At 41.4% G+C, this 17,507-nt stretch overlaps 1 protein-coding gene across 4 annotated transcripts in view, besides 1 other annotated feature; it reads right to left on the reverse strand.

Annotated features, from left to right (window-relative positions):
• DAB1 (DAB adaptor protein 1) overlaps positions 1-17,507 on the reverse strand; it is a 1,551,949-nt gene that overhangs the window by 586,733 nt on the left and 947,709 nt on the right. The window lies entirely within an intron of this gene.
• Positions 16,585-16,750: a silencer, noted in NCBI's record as "fragment chr1:58063767-58063932 (GRCh37/hg19 assembly coordinates)". NCBI's record gives its function as "represses an EF-1alpha promoter that drives an FKBP-Casp9 reporter gene in an ReSE screen in HepG2 liver carcinoma cells {active_cell/tissue: HepG2}" and the evidence as "EXISTENCE:reporter gene assay evidence [ECO:0000049][PMID:32094911]".

The following is a 17,507-nucleotide window of genomic DNA, read 5'->3' on the forward strand; positions in this document are numbered from 1 at the left end:
CGGACAAAATACTAAACCTCTCTCGTTCTCAGTTTCATAATCTGTAAGATAAAGATGGTGGCACTGACCTCATTGAATTGTGGTGAGATATACATGAAATCATTTATGTGTGAAATACACGAAATATTTATACACAACTATAATAATATGGTCCTATATACCACATTATATATTATATAACATATACTATATAATAAATCTAATATATTATTATATAATATATATTATATGTGTTAGATTAATTATTATGTATTTTCAGGTTATTTTATTTGAAAATAGAACACATGGCTCATTTAGGAAGATTATTAAAATATCTTCTGCTGCTTTTGCTAAGTTTCTGAGAAATAGGCCGTCTTAGCCTGAGCTGCTATAACAACATACCATAGACTGGGCAGCTTAAACAGGAATTTATTTCTCATAGTTTTTGAGGCTGGGAAGTCCAAGATCAAGATGCCAGCAGATTTGGTTCCTGGTGAGGACTGTCTTCTTGGCTTGTAGACAATCACCTTCTTGTGTAGCCTCCCATGGAACAGAGAGAGGAAGCTCTGGTCTCTTCCTACTCTTAAAAGGGCACTAATCTTACCATGGGACTCTACCCTCAATGACCTCATTTAAAGCTATTCACCTCCTGTATTAGTCCATTTTCACACTGATATAAAGATACCACCTGAGCCTGGATAGTTTATAAACAAAAGAGGGTTAATTGACTCACAGTTCCATGTGGCTGCGGAGGCTTCACAATCATGGAAGAAGGCAAACGGGAAGCAAGGCACATCTTACAGAGTGGCAGGAGAGAGAGAAAAATCAGAAGGAAGCTCCAGACATTTATCAAACAACCAGGTCTTGTGAGAACTCACTATCATGAGAACAGCAAGGGAGAAATCCGCTCCCATGATCCAATCACCTCCCACCAGGTCCCTCCCTTGACACGTGGGGATTACAATTCAAGATGAGATTTGGGTGGGGACATGGAGCTAAACTAGATCACTTCCCAAAGACATTTCCAAACATCATCACACTGGGGATTAGAGCTTCAACATATGAATTTAGGGAACAGGAGGATACACAAACTTTCAATCCATAGCATGGGCAAATAGGTTCACAAACAACTGTTATGAGCTGATAGGAGCCTCCTCCTCATGGGTGCTGGATGTGGCAGCTGAGGATTCAGGAGAGCTGGATCCTGTTTCCCGCTCCACAGGGTCCGATGCCACTCCAACAGCATCACAGTCCCTGTCTCATGACAAGATCCTGACTTGGTTTAGATAACCTATAACAACATGCTCAGGGAAGGTGGGTTCAACCCACAGGGTGGATCATGATTGGCCAAAGCAACCAGGATAGTCTCATTCCTTCTTGCAGGTGACTGGTTAAGCAGTGCGCCTATGACCCAGTTTTGGTCATTGAGACAAAATGGGGCTTCAGGAAAAGACTTCCAGTTCTGATGAAAATCCCTTTTCTTCCCTATATGCTGGAATGTGAGGACGGAATGTGAAGCAGGGCTGCCTTTTTGTGACTATGAGAGGAAAAACAAAGAGAATTGGAGAAGTGAACTCAGAGCACTGAAATTATTGAACTGCTGAGTTAGCAGAAGCTGGAACTGCCTACCCTACAGTTCTAGTTATGTTTACATAATAAACCCCAGTGTTTTCAGCTACTTTTATCCAGGTCATTTGTTACCAGGAGCCAAAAGCATCCTAAAGCATACATGTACAAACTTACTTTGGGACTCTAGACACATGCCCTCTCTGAGCCTCGGTTTCTTGTTTTTTTTCTTTTCTTTTTTTTTTTTTTTTGATGGAATCTCGCCCTGTAGCCCAGGCTGGAGTGCAGTGGTGCGATCTCAGCTCACTGACACCTCTGCCTCCCAGGTTCAAGCAATTCTCCTGCCTCAGCCTCCCAAGTAGCTGGGACTACACGCGCGCGCCAATATGCCCAGCTAATTTTTGTATTTTTAGTACAGATGGGGTTTCACCACGTTGGCCAAGAGGGTCTCCATCTCCTGACCTTGTGATCCGCCTGCCTCAGCCTCCCAAAGTGCTGGGATTACAGGCCTGAGCCACCACGCCCGGCCCAGTTTCCTCTTACATTAAATGATGGGATTGGATTTCTGTTGGCAAACCAGTAGCCCATGGGCCAGATTCAGCTTAGCAGTGATGTTTGGGTTTCCCTGTGCATCAAACAAATCATATGTATCTAGAAAATGTGACTCCTGTACTTTCCAAATTTCTTCCAATTGCCCTCATGAGCCTCACATGGGATAGTGGTGGAAAAATGAATCTTGTCAGGTAATCATATCTCCATCTTCTCTGGTACAAGAATCTCTTAGAGACCTTGGTTCTTCTCTGGAAATGCTCCTGGTTAGGGGTGAAGAAGTGGGGCTTACATGCCATTGCGGCCTTAGGGCTATGCTGTTTTCTCTAGATCTGCTATAGAATCTGTTAAAGTGAACTAAATATGGCCTGAGAAGGACTCCGTACTTCTCTATTTGAGTCCTTGTGGACGAACTGCAACCTAGCTTAATAGGTAGAGAAGACTGAAAACCTAACTTAGGAGTATGCGCCTGTAACAATAGCTGAGTCTTGGCCAGTCCCAGTGGCTATACTTCAGCCACTCATAAACTGTTGAGTGTTCAAACTGTGCTCAAATAAGGAAACGCTGAGCCGTAACCAATCCAGCCATTCTGTACCTCACTTACGATTTCTATATATCATTTCCCTTTTTTTTGTCTATAAATCTTCTTCTACCATGTGGCTGTGCTGGAGTCTCTGTGAATCTGTTGTGATTCTGCAGGCTGCCCAATTCACAAATTGTTCATTGCTCAATTAAACTCCTTTAAATTTAATTTGGCTGATGTTTTTCTTTTATCAAATCACAGGGCTGGTTGAGGCCTTAAGCTCTGTACAGTGTCTGCTAAGATGCAGCAGATCTCTCTGGGTCCTTGGAATAGTGTGCTCCTTCCATAGCTGAAATCTTTGGTCCTAGACATAGTCCCTGTACTCTGCAACCACTGATACCATGTTGCTTCCAGTGACCTGGGCTCGGCACCTCTGCATTCCCTCCCTGGGATATCCTAATGTCTCCCTGAACAGGCACTAGGGAAACAGAAATATCACTCAGACCTATTATTCCAGACATGTCTATACACACATATATTATGCTCTCCTAAGGAACAAGGTGCCAAGCCAAATGCAGAACATTCTCTAGAGCCTTGTAGTTACTCTTCCAAGCAATGCCTAGAGAAGTAGTCTCCAGCTTTCTGTGTTGTTAGGTCCCCTAATACCTGTATGGATATCTCCATTATTAGTTTCTCTACCCCTTGTCAAGATATGGCTATGTGGCAGGAGGTAGAATGAGAGATTAGTAAGAATCCTGCCATCACATTTCCTCATCTACTTCTTCCTCACTGGAAGCAAATTCCTCTATATCGAATTCTTTCTCCATTAAGACTCACACCTCGGCCAGGCGCGGTGGCTTACGCCTGTAATCCCAACACTTGGGAGGCCAAGGTGGGCAGATCACAAGGTCAGGAGTTCGAGACCAGCCTGGCCAACATGTTGAAACCTCGTCTCTACTAAAAATACAAAAATTAGCTGGATGTGGTGGTGGGTGGCTGTAATGCCAGCTACTCGGGAGGCTGAGGCAGGAGAATCGCTCGAACCTGGGAGGCGGAGGGTGCAGTGAGCCAAGATCAAGCCACTGCACTCCAGCCTGGGCGACAGGATGAGACTCTTTCTGAAAAAAAAAAAAAAAAAAAAAAAAAAAGACTTACACCTTAGTGACAGAACAGTAAGAGAAACCTTTAAACCAAAGAGACAACAAAGTTAGATTTTTAAAGATTATACCACTGTACTGTATTTAAAGCAATTTTTAATTTGTTGCCAATATTTTTTTAAACTCACAAGATTCTATATATGCATGTAGATTTTTATCTTCTCTTTAAAATTAGAGGCTCTTGGCAACATTGAATTCACATTCTTTCATGGAACAATAATGGGCATGAGCCAAGTAGTCTTCTTTCCTTGAACGTGCATGCATTGTCTGGTTCTTCACAGTCCCAATCACTCCCCTTTGTCTTGGACCTTGAATGCATCTGGTTCGCACATTTATGGTTTCTTTCTACCCCCTTAGGCATTCACAATTCTATAATAAGATCAATTCCCCTTATATATTTCTGAGACTCTATGATCAATTCCCCCTTCCCACCTCCCCATTCATCCAGCACCACACAAAGCCCAGCCAGGGAATGCAACATATTACATCTTGATATAAATATGATTACTACATGAACATATAATAAGTTATGGATAAATGTATAATCTGGTCAAGTATATATGCCAAACACTTATTTTAAAATGAGAAGAAAGATTTTTTCAACCATTCACTTGACTTCCATTCTTTGAACCAGCTGTGGAGCCTTGAGCAAGTTACTTGGGCCAACTGGGCTCCTATTTTTTCAACTGTGGGATGAAGAGGGTACAACTAATTCCAGGGCTCTGTAATTACATGTGTTCAGTCCAATAACCATACGTTCTCACATCAGGAGGGTTGATCCAAGGAATGTAAGACAGGCCCTCACATTTGGGAGTTTATGATCTAGTGGGGGAAAAAAAGCAAAAGCATAGAAAATGGAAAGCATCACAAAGCAAAGGGAGCTCTGGGGCCTCTATGCTCAGAATAGTGGGATCTTACAGTCAGAAGGTGACTAAGAGAAACTTTTCTCTCCTCACCAACATCTTCAGCTAACTACCTCCTCTTCTTCCCTTGAAATAAAATTCAGCTCACCTCTCCCTCTCCTGAAGCCCAAGGCTGGGTGAATTGATGCCCTCCACATGTGTCCCCACAGCTCTGCAATGTCTTTGTTTATTGGTCTGTCTCCTCCACTGTTCTGGACTCTGAGGGCAGGAAATGTAATACACATTTGTCTTTTCTCTTTTCTTTTCTTTTCTTTTTCCTTTTCTTTCTCTTCTCTCTCTCTCTCTCTCTATTTTTTTTCTATAACAACACTCACTTCATGGCGAACCATGCTGGCACCTCATTCCATGTGGGTGGTTGATAAAGATTTTCGTCATACACATTCTTCCTCTGGTAGGCAAGTAAAATCAGGTCAGATTCTTTCTTCAGGAGATTTTAAACTTAAGGGAATTAACAGAATATCAAAAGAGTTTGAAACTGAATCATTCTTCCAGCAGAGTGCATTTTTTCCTACTTCCATTATCCATTGACCTGTTCCTGTTCCTCTCTTCCCTTGGATGTTCAGTCCTTCCTTGACTTTGCAAACTCCTCAATACTTTACTTAAAAAAAAAAAAAAAGTAAAAGAAAGAAAGATGGCTGGGGCCATTTCTGTAAAAATCAAGGATTTTATCTCATTCTGGGATCAAATCTTTTTCAACTTTGCTATCAATTACAAAGTCTGGCATGTGGTAAATTCTGGGGACAAAATACTAAATGTTTATTCAGTGAATAAATTCCTCATCAATGCTAACTTTCATTCTGTAGCATTCCTGACAGATAACCATCTCTCCTCTTTATGCTAGAATGCCATCAACTTCAGAGGGCTCAGCATCTCACTAGGCAGCTCAGGCTATTTGGAAAATTTTCCCAAATGAATTCTATCACATATCCCCAGTTGTTTGAAAGTTCTTCCTAAATGAGTAAAAATCTTGCTCACATTAACTTTCCCCCTACTATTCCTTGTTCTTTGCTGGGACCATGAGAATTCTTCCATCAGATAATGTCAGAGTCAAGGCTAGCAACATCTACAGGGTTTCACAGCTTGCTAAGAGGTCTCTAAGGGATAATAATATCCCACATTTGAAAGGCAAATAACACCTAGAGGGTTTTCAAAGCTCTTTCCCAACCATTAGGTAATTTATTCTCACAAAAACTCTGAGACACAGATTGCTGTGGGATTACTAGTCTCCATTTTACCTATCAGGAGACTCTATCCCAGAAAGATTGTATAATGTTATTTTCCAGGTCACACAGTTAATAAAGGGCAGAGTTAAGACTCAATGCCTGATCTTTATGGCTTAATTCTCTCACCCCCTCAATTGTACCATGGGTCCCTTACCACAAGGTTATAATAGTCATCTCCATGATGAAGATATGATTTTAAAGGGATTTACTGCTCCAGCCACTCTGCTGCAGGTCAGCTTAAATACTTGCTTGACCTCCTCAATTATCTAAGAGAGGTATGATTATTTCTGTTTCACAATTGAAGACACTGAGGCTCAGAGCAGTGAAGAGACTTGCCCAAGGCCACTAGGTAATAAATGTCAAAACTGACATTGAACCCAGGTAAAAAAGACAGACATCAGTCATACTAGGAGTTGGCTCATGCTGTGTGAGCAGCCTAGCCCTGTACCACAGAAGCCACCATTAAGTCCCATTTTGATCTTTCTCTCATGTGAGTTTTTGGACCTACACTTTCAGCAAGGACAATAGCCATTTCCTTACCCACTATCCCTGAAACTCCTGAGGCCACTTTGTTGCTCTCCTCTCTCAAATTCTAAAGTCTTTCTCTGTCCCTCTCCCCACATAATTACATTAACCATTCACAAAGTTTGGGTGAGATCTTTGGTTGCTGAATGACTTATGGGGAAAGAAGGAAGACTGGCTACACACACAAGAAACATTCAGGTCATTTTTATTTCTCCATCCATGGGCAGCATCAGCCTAACCTGGAATGTGCATCCCACAGCTGCATTAAGACCAATAGGAAACATCTGTATTCTGTTACAGTTTCTCCCTTAGACAGCACCCCCCTACCACCACCAAAGGCATGGTGTTTTCTTAAAGTTCATCTGCAAGGTTCTGTTCTCAGCACTGATAACACTGTAAAATAATGGTAAAGTTAATTATTGGCAAATTAAAATGGAAGTGCTATCTAAATTCTTAGGACATCCACATTACTATAAAATGAGTTTATTGTGATCAAAACGATTAATGACATTTCAGTAAATACCAGAGAATTAAAATCCTGAATACCAAGAAGGTTAAAGTCTTATCATCATTAGAGTACATCAAAGAAAAAAGTGAGTCCTCTCCTTATCTGCTTACATTAGGGAAAAAGACACAGAGCAAATAAAGAAAATCATTTGAATCTTGGCAAATATTGAAATCTAGAGGCTCATTTTCTTATTTATGTAGCATTTAGAAGCAATACATATTGTACTGGAGGAAAAACAATAGCTCATGTGTAATTTAAACAAAATAGACAGACCAAAAGAACAGAATTGAAAGGCCAAAAATAGACCCACGCATATCATAACATTTTAGCATATAATGAAGAAGGTATTTTAAAACTGGGGAAAAGGATAAATATTAAATAAAGGTATTGGCACAACTGGTTCATCATTGGTTGAGGGAAGATAACTACCTTATATCTTACCCCTAAATATAGTCCAGAACAAAAAAAGTAGATAAAAATACATATGTTTGGCTGGGCGCGGTGGCTCACGCCTGTAATCCCAGCACTTCGGGAGGCCGAGGCAGGTGGATCACCTGAGGTCAGGAGTTCGAGACCAGCCTGACCAAAATAGTGAAACCCTGTCTCTACTAAAAATACAAAAAATTAGCTAACACCTGTAATCCCAGCTATAGGCTAAGGCAGGAGAATTGCTTGAACCTGGGGGTGTGGAGGTTGCAGTGAGCCGAGATCATGCCATTGCACTCCAGCCTGGGCAACAACAGCGAAACTCCATCTCAAAAAACAAAAAACAAACAAAAAAACCATATGTTTATCATTTCAAAAAGAGAAACCAGAAAAGGAGAAATTAATAAACTCAGTAATATTTAATTTAAACCAAATGAAAACATAAGTAATAACCTGGAGAAAATATCAACTATACTTTGGAAAGATAAAGGATAATATCTTTGATTTTTTTATATGTAAATGATATATTTGATATATAAAGAGCTTCTACCAATAAAGAAAAAGACAAGCTCTCTGATATAAAGAGGCTGGGCACAGTGGCTCACCCCTGTAATTTCAGCACTTTGGGAGGCCAAGATGAGCAGATAACTTGAGGCCAGGAGTTTGAGAACAGTCTGGCCAACATGGAGAAACACCATCTCTACTAAAAATACAGAAATTAGCCAGGTGTGGTGGTGCATGCCTGTAGTCCCAGCTACTCAGGAGGCTGAGGCAAGAGTATCACTTGAATCCAGGAGGGGGAGGTTGCAATGAGCCGAAATCATGACACTGCACACCAGCCTCAGCAACAGAGTGAGACTCTGTCTCAAGAAGAAAAAAAAGCAAAAGACTTAGAAAAGAAATAAAAGTAGCCAATGCAACTATGAAAATATTTCCCCTTCAATAGGGGGAAAATAATGTAAGCTAACATAACAATACACTTTTTATTTTGGTGAAAATTTTAAAAACCTTATAGTAAGCAGTATAGGAGATAAATAGACCCTCTTAGACCCTCCTGAAAGAGCACAAATTGGCCCAAAATTTATGAAAGGCAATTTGGGCCAAAAAATAAATTATATACTATTTTAGTTTGCTAGAGATATCATAAAAAATAACCCAGACTAAGTGGGTTAAACAACAAAAATTTATTTTTTATGGTTCTGGAGGCTAGAAGTCCAAGATCAAGCTGTCTGCAAGTCTGGTTTCTAAGGCTTCTCTCCTTGGCTTTCAGATGGCAACCCTTTTGCTGCCTCTTCACGTGGTCTTTCTTCTATGCACACCCACGCCTGGTGTCTGTTCCATTTCTTATAAGGACACTAGTCATATTGGACTATGGCCTGAACCTTATGATCTTACTTAACCTTAATTATTTTTTCTTTTCTTTTATTTATTTATTTATTTATTTATTTTGAGATGGAGTCTTGCTCTGTCACCAGGTTGGAGTGCAGTGGTGCGATCTTGGCTCACTGCAACCTCCACCTCCCGGTTTCAAGCGATTCTCCTGCCTCAGCCTCTCAAGTAGCTGGGACTACAGGCACACGTCACCATGCTCAGCTAATTTTTTTGTTTGTTTTTTGTATTTTTAGTAGAGATGGGGTTTCACCATGTTGGCCAGGATGGTTTCAATCTCTTAACCTCGTGATCTGCACATCTTGGCCTCCCAAAGTGCTAGGATTACAGGTGTGAGCCACCGTGCCTAGCCCCTTAATTATTTTTTCAAAGGCCCCTTCTTCAAATACAGTCATGCTGGGGGTTAGGGCTTTACCATAGGAATTTGAGGGTGGGAAGGAACACATTGTAGTCCGTAACACACACACACACACACACACACACACACACACACACACACACACACCCCACTCACATATTCTTACCCTATGACCAACAATTTCACTTCTAGAATATGATTCAGAAAAGCAAACAGACCACAAAGGCAAAAATCTGATCCTAAAGTATACATACATCTCATCCTAGATTCTGTTTTCTAACCTGAATTTTCCATTTATGCAAAATTGGTTAATTCAGTACTGAATCAAATTCTTTAGAGATGAGAGCCAAGAATTTATTTTTTTAAATTTAACTTCTGATACATAGCCAGGTGACGGTGAAATTGCTTTGTAAATGACTGTAAAATAGGTAAGATTCTGTTGTCTGAACCTGCCATGAAAATGCCAGCGTCCCTTGAATGCAGCGACTCTCAGGGAAGGGCCGCACTGCCTAGTACGCATTCCTGAGCTGTGAAGTCAGACAGATGTGGCTGGAATTCACTCCATTCCTTATTGGCTGTGTGACCTTGGGCAAACCCTCTACCCTCTCTGATGCTCAGTCTCCATTATCTGAATAATGAGGAAAACAATACCTTTTTGCAGAGTGGTATAATAAGATTTAGAGATAAATTAAGAACAGGACCTGGTGACTGGCCCATGTGAAATGTTCAGAAAATCAATATTATCTCCTTATGATATCACCACAAATGTTCAGGAAGGAATGGACCAGCCAAAATTCATAAAGGCAGCACTAAGGTGTGGTAATACCCAAATCAATGTCATTTTAGGGAAGTTGACATTCTGACTGGGGTCAGTGTATCCTAGAGCAATGGTACAGGGTTCTGAGGCAAATGGATCTCGGTTCAAATCCTGAAACTGCCAACTAAGTGGATAAATCTAGGCAAGTAGCTTGACTTTGTCAGCCTCAGTTTCTTCATCTGTAAAATGGGGTTGATAATATCTACTTCACAGCATCACTATTAGGCATAAATAAAATAACCCAAGTATGATGCTTTTTACAGTGTCTGCATGTATACTTCTCAGTAAGCAGAATTTATTATTTTTTGCCACTACCAGTGCACATCTGCCTCAGACAGGTGTGCAAATGTCTGCAGTGTCAGAGGCTCTGGGGAAACCGTCTAGAGCAAAACCTCCAATGAGTAGGTGTAGCGGAGTCTTTCATTCTTTAGAGAATCCTGGGAAGGAAGAAAACTAATAAGTTATTTCATCTAATACCTTCTTGCGCAAGGATCCTTAGCTACAAATACACTCTGTGATGTTTTTCTCAGATAAGTTACAAATAAGCCCCAACTTGCCTTGAAAGGATTTCTGCAATCTAATAGGATGAGGTGTTAGTCTTGATACTGTGAAATCCCTTTAGCAGAAAGCCTGGGGCTAGCAGTGGGGCCAGGCTCTTCCTGAGTGTTGGCACTTAAGGAGGCAGATAAGGGAAGATTTCCAAATAGGAACATCTGGAAATGGAAAAGAAGGACTCTGAGGAGAAAGAGCACTCATTTTTCAAGGCTGCCTTAGGCTATGTCTTCTGGGAAGCCATCTCTGGGCAAAAGAATCATGGATTTGAGATGTGACACACAGGATTTTAACAAATGAAGCCACCAGGTCTGTTTGTGGAGCACCCTGGGTTTACTTCTCTCCTCAAGGACTTTAGAACCGGATTGAGAGCCCAGCCAGTCAGGTGACTGTGCAGGGTGCCCCCATTTGAAAAGCAGCAAGGCCTCATAGAAAAAAAAAATGGAAATATTATTCCAATTAACACAGATGCCACGTGGGATTCTTGATATGACTGATGAAATTTAAATTGGTTGCCACATTAGTGAGGAGTCTTCAGGTCATAGACAATAGAAAACCAAGTCAAACTAGATTTTTTTTTTTTAACAGTGGTAAAATACACAGAACATAAAATTTTCTGTCTGTAGTAGACAGCTTGGGCTGCCAGAATAAAATATTACTTTTAATGGCAAAAACCACAATTACATTTACACCAATATAATACAGGCTTGTTGGCTAAAACAACACAGATGTACTTTCTCACAGTTGCAGAAGCTGCAAGTCTAAGATGACGGTGTTAGCAGTGTTAGTGTCTGGTGAGGGCTCTCTTCCTGGCTTGTAGGTGGCCACCTTCTCGCTGTGTCCTCACTCTGTCTTTCCTCTCTGTGTGCATGGAGAGAGCTCTGGTACTCTTCTGACCTCATTTAACCTTACTTGCCTCCTACAGGGCCCTGTCTCTATATGTAGTCACACTGAGGGTTGGGGCTTCAATACATGAATGTTGGAGAGACACAGTTCAGTCCATAACACTGTCTTAACCATGTGTAAGTGCACAGTTCAGTGGCATTAGGTACGTTCACATTGTTGTGCAACCATCACTACTCTCCATCCACAGCACTCTTCTTATCTTGCAAAACTGAAACTCTGTACCCATGGAAAATAATGTACCATTCCTCCTTCTCCCCAGCCCCTGACAGCCTCCAAACCACCATTCTACTTTCAGGACCTGTGGATTTGACTTCCCTAGGTACTTCATATAAGTGGAATTATGCACTGTTTGCCCTTTTGTGGCTGACTTATTTCACTTGGCATAATGTCAAGGTTCATCCATGTTATAGAAAGTGTCCGAATTTTTTTGTTTTTCACAGCTGAATAATATTCTACTGTACATGTAGACCACATTTTCTTTATCCATGCATCCATCAATGAACACTTGGGTTCTTCCACCTTTTGGTACTGTGAATAATGTTGCTGTGACCATGGGTGCACAAATCAAACTAGTTTTTAAAAACCATACATGGAAGTTTATGATTGTGATTATGGCAATGGCTTCTTGATAAGTGTACACAAATGTTAAAATTTATCAAATAGTATACTTTACATATATGCAGACAATAGTATGTCAATTATTCTTCAAGATAGCTATAAAAGACGCACAGAAAAAGGAGGATTATTTTTTGGCACACAGGGAACTTCAGGACAGCAGTGCCTGTCATGAAGGCCCAAATGACATCATCAGGATTTTAAAAAAAGGGTTCCATCAGTGGACACTCTGCTTTACTTTACTTCTGTAAGGTCAGCTTTTGCTAAATAGCGACACATATGTGGCACAACTCTTGGCTAACCTCGTCTTTACAACTAGGAATCTTAGAGGGGAGAGAATGCCATATTCCCAAAAGTTCTAGCAGAAGTCTGAGCAAATGCTCTAATTGGTCAAACTCTGAGCCAATCATTATGGTTACGGAGAAAGCTGTCCTCTAACTGGCCAAGCCTGGGTTGTATGCCTTGCCTATGATGGATAGGAAGGATGAATACCATGAACTACTCAGAATAGGTTCCCCTCAAGAAAGAGGGATTCTGTTATCAGAAGATGAAAGGCAGGCAAAACTGAAGATGAATATTACTGTCCTACTCCTCTGAAAGAGACTGACTTCCCCTTACATGGAAATAAAAGTACACAACTTGCTAATGACCACTTGCCCCATAGGGTATTCTTGTGCTCTACATATGAAAGCTATGAAAGATTTCCAAATAGGAACATCTGGAAATGGAAAAGAAGGACTCTGAGGAGAAAGCACACTCATTTTTCAAGGCTGCCTTAGGCTATGTCTTCGTCTTTGGGCAAAAGAATCACGGATTTGAGACGTGACACGCAGGATTTTAACAAATGAAGCCACCAGGTCTGTTTCTGGAGCACCCTGGGTTTACTTCTCTCCTCAAGGACTTTAGAACCGGATTGAGACCACAGCCAGTAGGGTGACTGTCCAGGGTGCCCCCATTTGAAAAGCAGCAAGGTCATAAATCTCTTCATCACCCTCCATGGACCATGAGACCAGCCAACTAGGAGTCACCTGAAATCACCAGCCAAATGTCAGCTGAAATTCTGAAACAGAATAATCCTAAGCTCAATGCTATTTACCCAGGAAAAATGATTTCTTTTGTTCTAAATTTTCAATCCAAGACGTTTAGGGGATCAGAAAAATCACAATTCTATTTATTTATATACTTATTTATTTATTTATTTAGAGACAGAGTCTTGCTCTGTCACCCAGGCCGGAGTGCAGTGGCGCCATCTCGGCTCACTGCAAGCTCCGCCTCCCGGGTTCACGCCATTCTCCTGCCTCAGCCTCCCGAGTAGCTGGGACTACAGGCGCCTGCCACCACGCCTGGCTAATTTTTTGTATTTGTAGTAGAGACGGGGTTTCACTGTATTAGCCAGGATGTTCTCGATCTCCTGACCTCATGATCCACCCGCCTCAGCCTCCCAAAGTGCTGGGATTACAGGCGTGAGCCACCACACCTGGCCGGAAAAATCACAATTCTAACACAATTCCAAGTGTTAGAATTACATGTTGAATATAGCTGTTGATTTTTAAAAATCCATTTCTACCCACTTCCATTAAGTAAATACTGAAAAACTGTATTTTGAATATAGTTGTTGTTTTTAAAAAAATCTGTTTCTACCCACTTCCATTAATTATTTTAGATTTTTTAGAATTATTTAGAATAATTATTTAGATTCTAAAATTTTTTTTAGATTCTAAATTTTTTTTAGATTCTAGATTTTTTTTAGATTCTAAATTTTTTGGAATAATTATTTAGAATAATTATTTTAGAAAAGTCATTGTGAAAGGATATCAGCTTTTTTGGGCCCCCAAATCTCTCAATCTAACCCTGGTCCTGGGGCTATCTCTAGGTTAATTTAGAGCAAAGAAAGGAAAGTGAGCACCTGCTATGTGGTAAGCAGTAGACGTAGCCTTGTCCACAAAGAATCATGTATACTCTCCTTCTCTGGGAGGCTTAGAGATGTGGGATAATTTGTCCAGGGTCACACTTGAAATGAGCAAGTGGCTGTCCTAAGACTCAATTGCAGGTTCCTCTGGCTCCAAATCCATGCCTTGTGATATGGTTCAGATCTGTGTTCCCCCCCCACCCCCCAAATCCCATATAGAATAATAATCCCAGTGTTGGAGGTGGGGTCTGGTGAGAGGTGATTTGATCCCTGGTGTGGTTTCTCTTGAAACCATCCCCTCAGTGCTATTCTCATGATAGTGAATGAGTGAGTTATCATGACATCAGGTTGTTTAGAAATGTGTAGCACCTCCCCACCTCTCTTCCTCCTCCTCCGGCCATGTAGGATGTGCCTGCTTCCCCTTCCCCTTCCGCCATGATTGTAGGTTTCCTGAGACCTCCCCAGAAGCCAAGCAGATGCTGCTATGCTTCCTGTATAGCCTGCAGAATTGTGAGCCAATTAAGCCTCTCTTCTTTATAAATTACTCAGTCTCAGACATTTCTTTATAGTGATGTAAGAACAGACTATACACCTTGGTTTTATTTGTTGTTTTTTTCTATGCAAGCCCTCCACTTTCACTGTCCTTTAACAGGTTCTTGTTCTGCCTTTGTTAGGCTGATTCTCTAGGTATCACTGGGAGGCATAGACCCTCTCCTTGCAGAACTCCAAGGGACACCATTCGAACATTCTTCTGAAAGTCCCCTGTTGAGCTGTGGTGGAGCTCTGCCATGTGTAGTTATTGTTAGGAGGTTTGGCATTGATTCCAAATTCCTAAACATGGCCTGGCTAACTGCTACTCACCTTCAGGTGTTATTTTAATTGTCACTTCCCTGGGGAAGATTTCTCTGTATCCCTGATGGGGGATTAAGTCACCATTTTGTTTACTCCGAGCACCTGAACATAAGATTGTCTTCCCCAGCACTTAGCACAATTAATAATTAATTACTCATATTATTATGTGTTTAATGGCTGTCTCTATTTATGCATCCATTTATGGATTTTTTTTTTTAAAGAGCCGATTACATGCCTGCCAGGTGCTTACTGTCTGAAGCCCTGGGGCTAGAGCAGTGTAGGAGTAGGAGTCCTGGGTGGACTGGGATGTGGTCTGTCTTCCTCCCCATGTATCCTCCAGCCCAGCCAGTGCCTCACCTAGAGCAAGAATTGAAAGAAGGAAGAAAAAAATGAAGAAAGGATACAACAATATTATTATGTTTCAGCCATATTCCATCCCCTTCCTTTGTGGGCTCTTAAAAGGCTGAATCTACTCCTATTTATCTCTGAATCTCCAGCACCAAACACAGCGCGTGGATAGAATAGGAGCTCAAAAATTACATACACTATTTAATGAATCAATGAATGATTCAACCAATCAATTTAATTTGGCATATGCCTTCCTTGTAGGTGTGCCCATTAATTACTAATTACCAATGTTTACATTCCAGTGCCTAACCATTTTTTTGCTGGCTTCTATGAACTCTCTGGGATGAGAGAATTGGTTTCTCAAATGACTTCCTGCATAAATTAGCCCATCTGAAAGTGAGTGTTTATCCCAGGCCCTTTGAAATTCACATCATTCGCACCAACACCCCCGCTCAGCTCAGACAGTTCTTTAATTCCAGTCACCTGGGATTTCTTCCTACCTTTGTTGCCAGCCTCAGCCTAACGCCACTTATCTTATCCACCTGGATTTACATATCAGAAAGGCCTAATCAAAGCCTGCCTGATTGTCACATCCACCCTGGTTACAAATCTGCCATCTAATCAAGAAGCCATACAGCAAATCAACATGCCCTTCTTTCTGAAATCTCTTGCAGAAAAATGGGAGAGCAGGAGTCAGAGCTGTGAACAAGGACAGCAAGAGTCAACCAGGGGAAAAATTCCCTTCCTAGCTGTGTAGCACTGGGAAGAAACGGACAAGGCAAAATGCTTTGTCTGCAGTTTGATACAACAGTGAGTGTGGGAGAAAAAAACTAATGAGCACAAAGTAACACATTTCTAAACTATGGTGCCTAATGGTACCATCTTAAGATTCTCTGGGCCCACAAGGCTACGAAGTTAGAATCAGAGATCCTTTATTTAGTCCAACACCTGCAAGGTACATTTTATGAGCTAAGTCAGGTTCTGAGAGATGAATAGCTAACAATAACAGGTAACTTCTACTGCACCCTTAGAATGGGCCAGCCTTTTCAGGCATGATCTCATTGGGTCCTCACAGCTAATTTTTTCTTTAATACAGAGAAGAAAAAAGAGACTTAGCAAAGCCATTTTCCCATAACCATAGAGTAAGTAAGCCATGAACCCAGGACATAGACTTAGATTATTTGTTCATTCAGCAAACTAATTTTTTTAAGTCTCCTGAATGGCACATCTTAAACTTTAAAATATGCATACAAGCCACCTAGAGATTTTTAAAAATGTATTTTCTGATTCATTAGACCTTGGGTATGTATCCACATTTTTATTTATTTTTTAGTTTATTTTTATTTTTATTTATTTCTTTATTTTGAGACGGAGTCTCGCTTTGTCACCCAGGCTGCAGTGCAGTGGCACGATCTTGGCTCACTGCAAGCTCCACCTCCCAGGTTTACGCCATTCCCCTGCCTCAGCCTCCCGAGTAGCAGGGACTACAGGTGCCCGCCACCACGCCTGGCTAATTTTTTGTATTTTTAGTAAAGACGAGGTTTCACCATGTTAGCCAGGATGGTCTCGATCTCCTGACCTCGTGATCCACCCGCCTCGGCCTCCCAAAGTGCTGGGATTACAGGCGTGAGCCACGGCGCCCAGCCGGTATCCACATTTTAAATAAGCTCCCTGGTGATGCTGCCCATGCACAGACCACAGATAATCCTGACTCCGTTACTCCTTTGCTGTGTGCCCCTTGGCAAATTACTTAATTTCTCTGAGCCTCAGTTTCCTCCTTATAAAATAGAAATGACACTAGAACCTGTCTTGTGGGTGTATTTAAACAGTTAAATGACATACCCTATATAAAGCTCTTAGCATAGTCTCTGGCCTACTCAGCAAGGGAGAAAGCAAGCAGCAAGTGTCAGATCTTATGATTTTCATATAATCCATACTGGGCACTGTGCTGGGAATACAGAAAGGAAAAGACACCCTCCCAAGGAGATGCCATCTAGCAGGGAGGCTGGTGGGCTGGCTGTATGGGCAGTGACAGGGGCAGCTCAGAAGACAACTTACTAGCCTGAGCATGGCAATCAGAGAAAGCTTCCGAGAGACAGTCTTATTTCTGTCACCCCAGTCCACATGAGGGGAAAAAAATCAAGATCGAGTGGCCAGTTGGTGCAGGACACTGCAACAGAGCAGGTTTACATCCAGGGGCTCAGCAGCCTTTAGGAGCTGATATGATCGAAGGTCAGCTTCACCAATTCCTGCCAAGACTCTTGCTGAGCATTTCATGAGGTCTCAGATTCCCCCTTCCAGGTTCCTGACAGCCATTTGGTTTCTGCCAAGACTCTCAACTCCCTTATATATTAACACAACCTTAAGCCTTTCTCCTGAGTC

Source organism: Homo sapiens, chromosome 1 (assembly GCF_000001405.40).
Source record: "Homo sapiens chromosome 1, GRCh38.p14 Primary Assembly".
In the NCBI taxonomy this organism is placed as follows: Eukaryota; Metazoa; Chordata; class Mammalia; order Primates; family Hominidae; genus Homo; species Homo sapiens.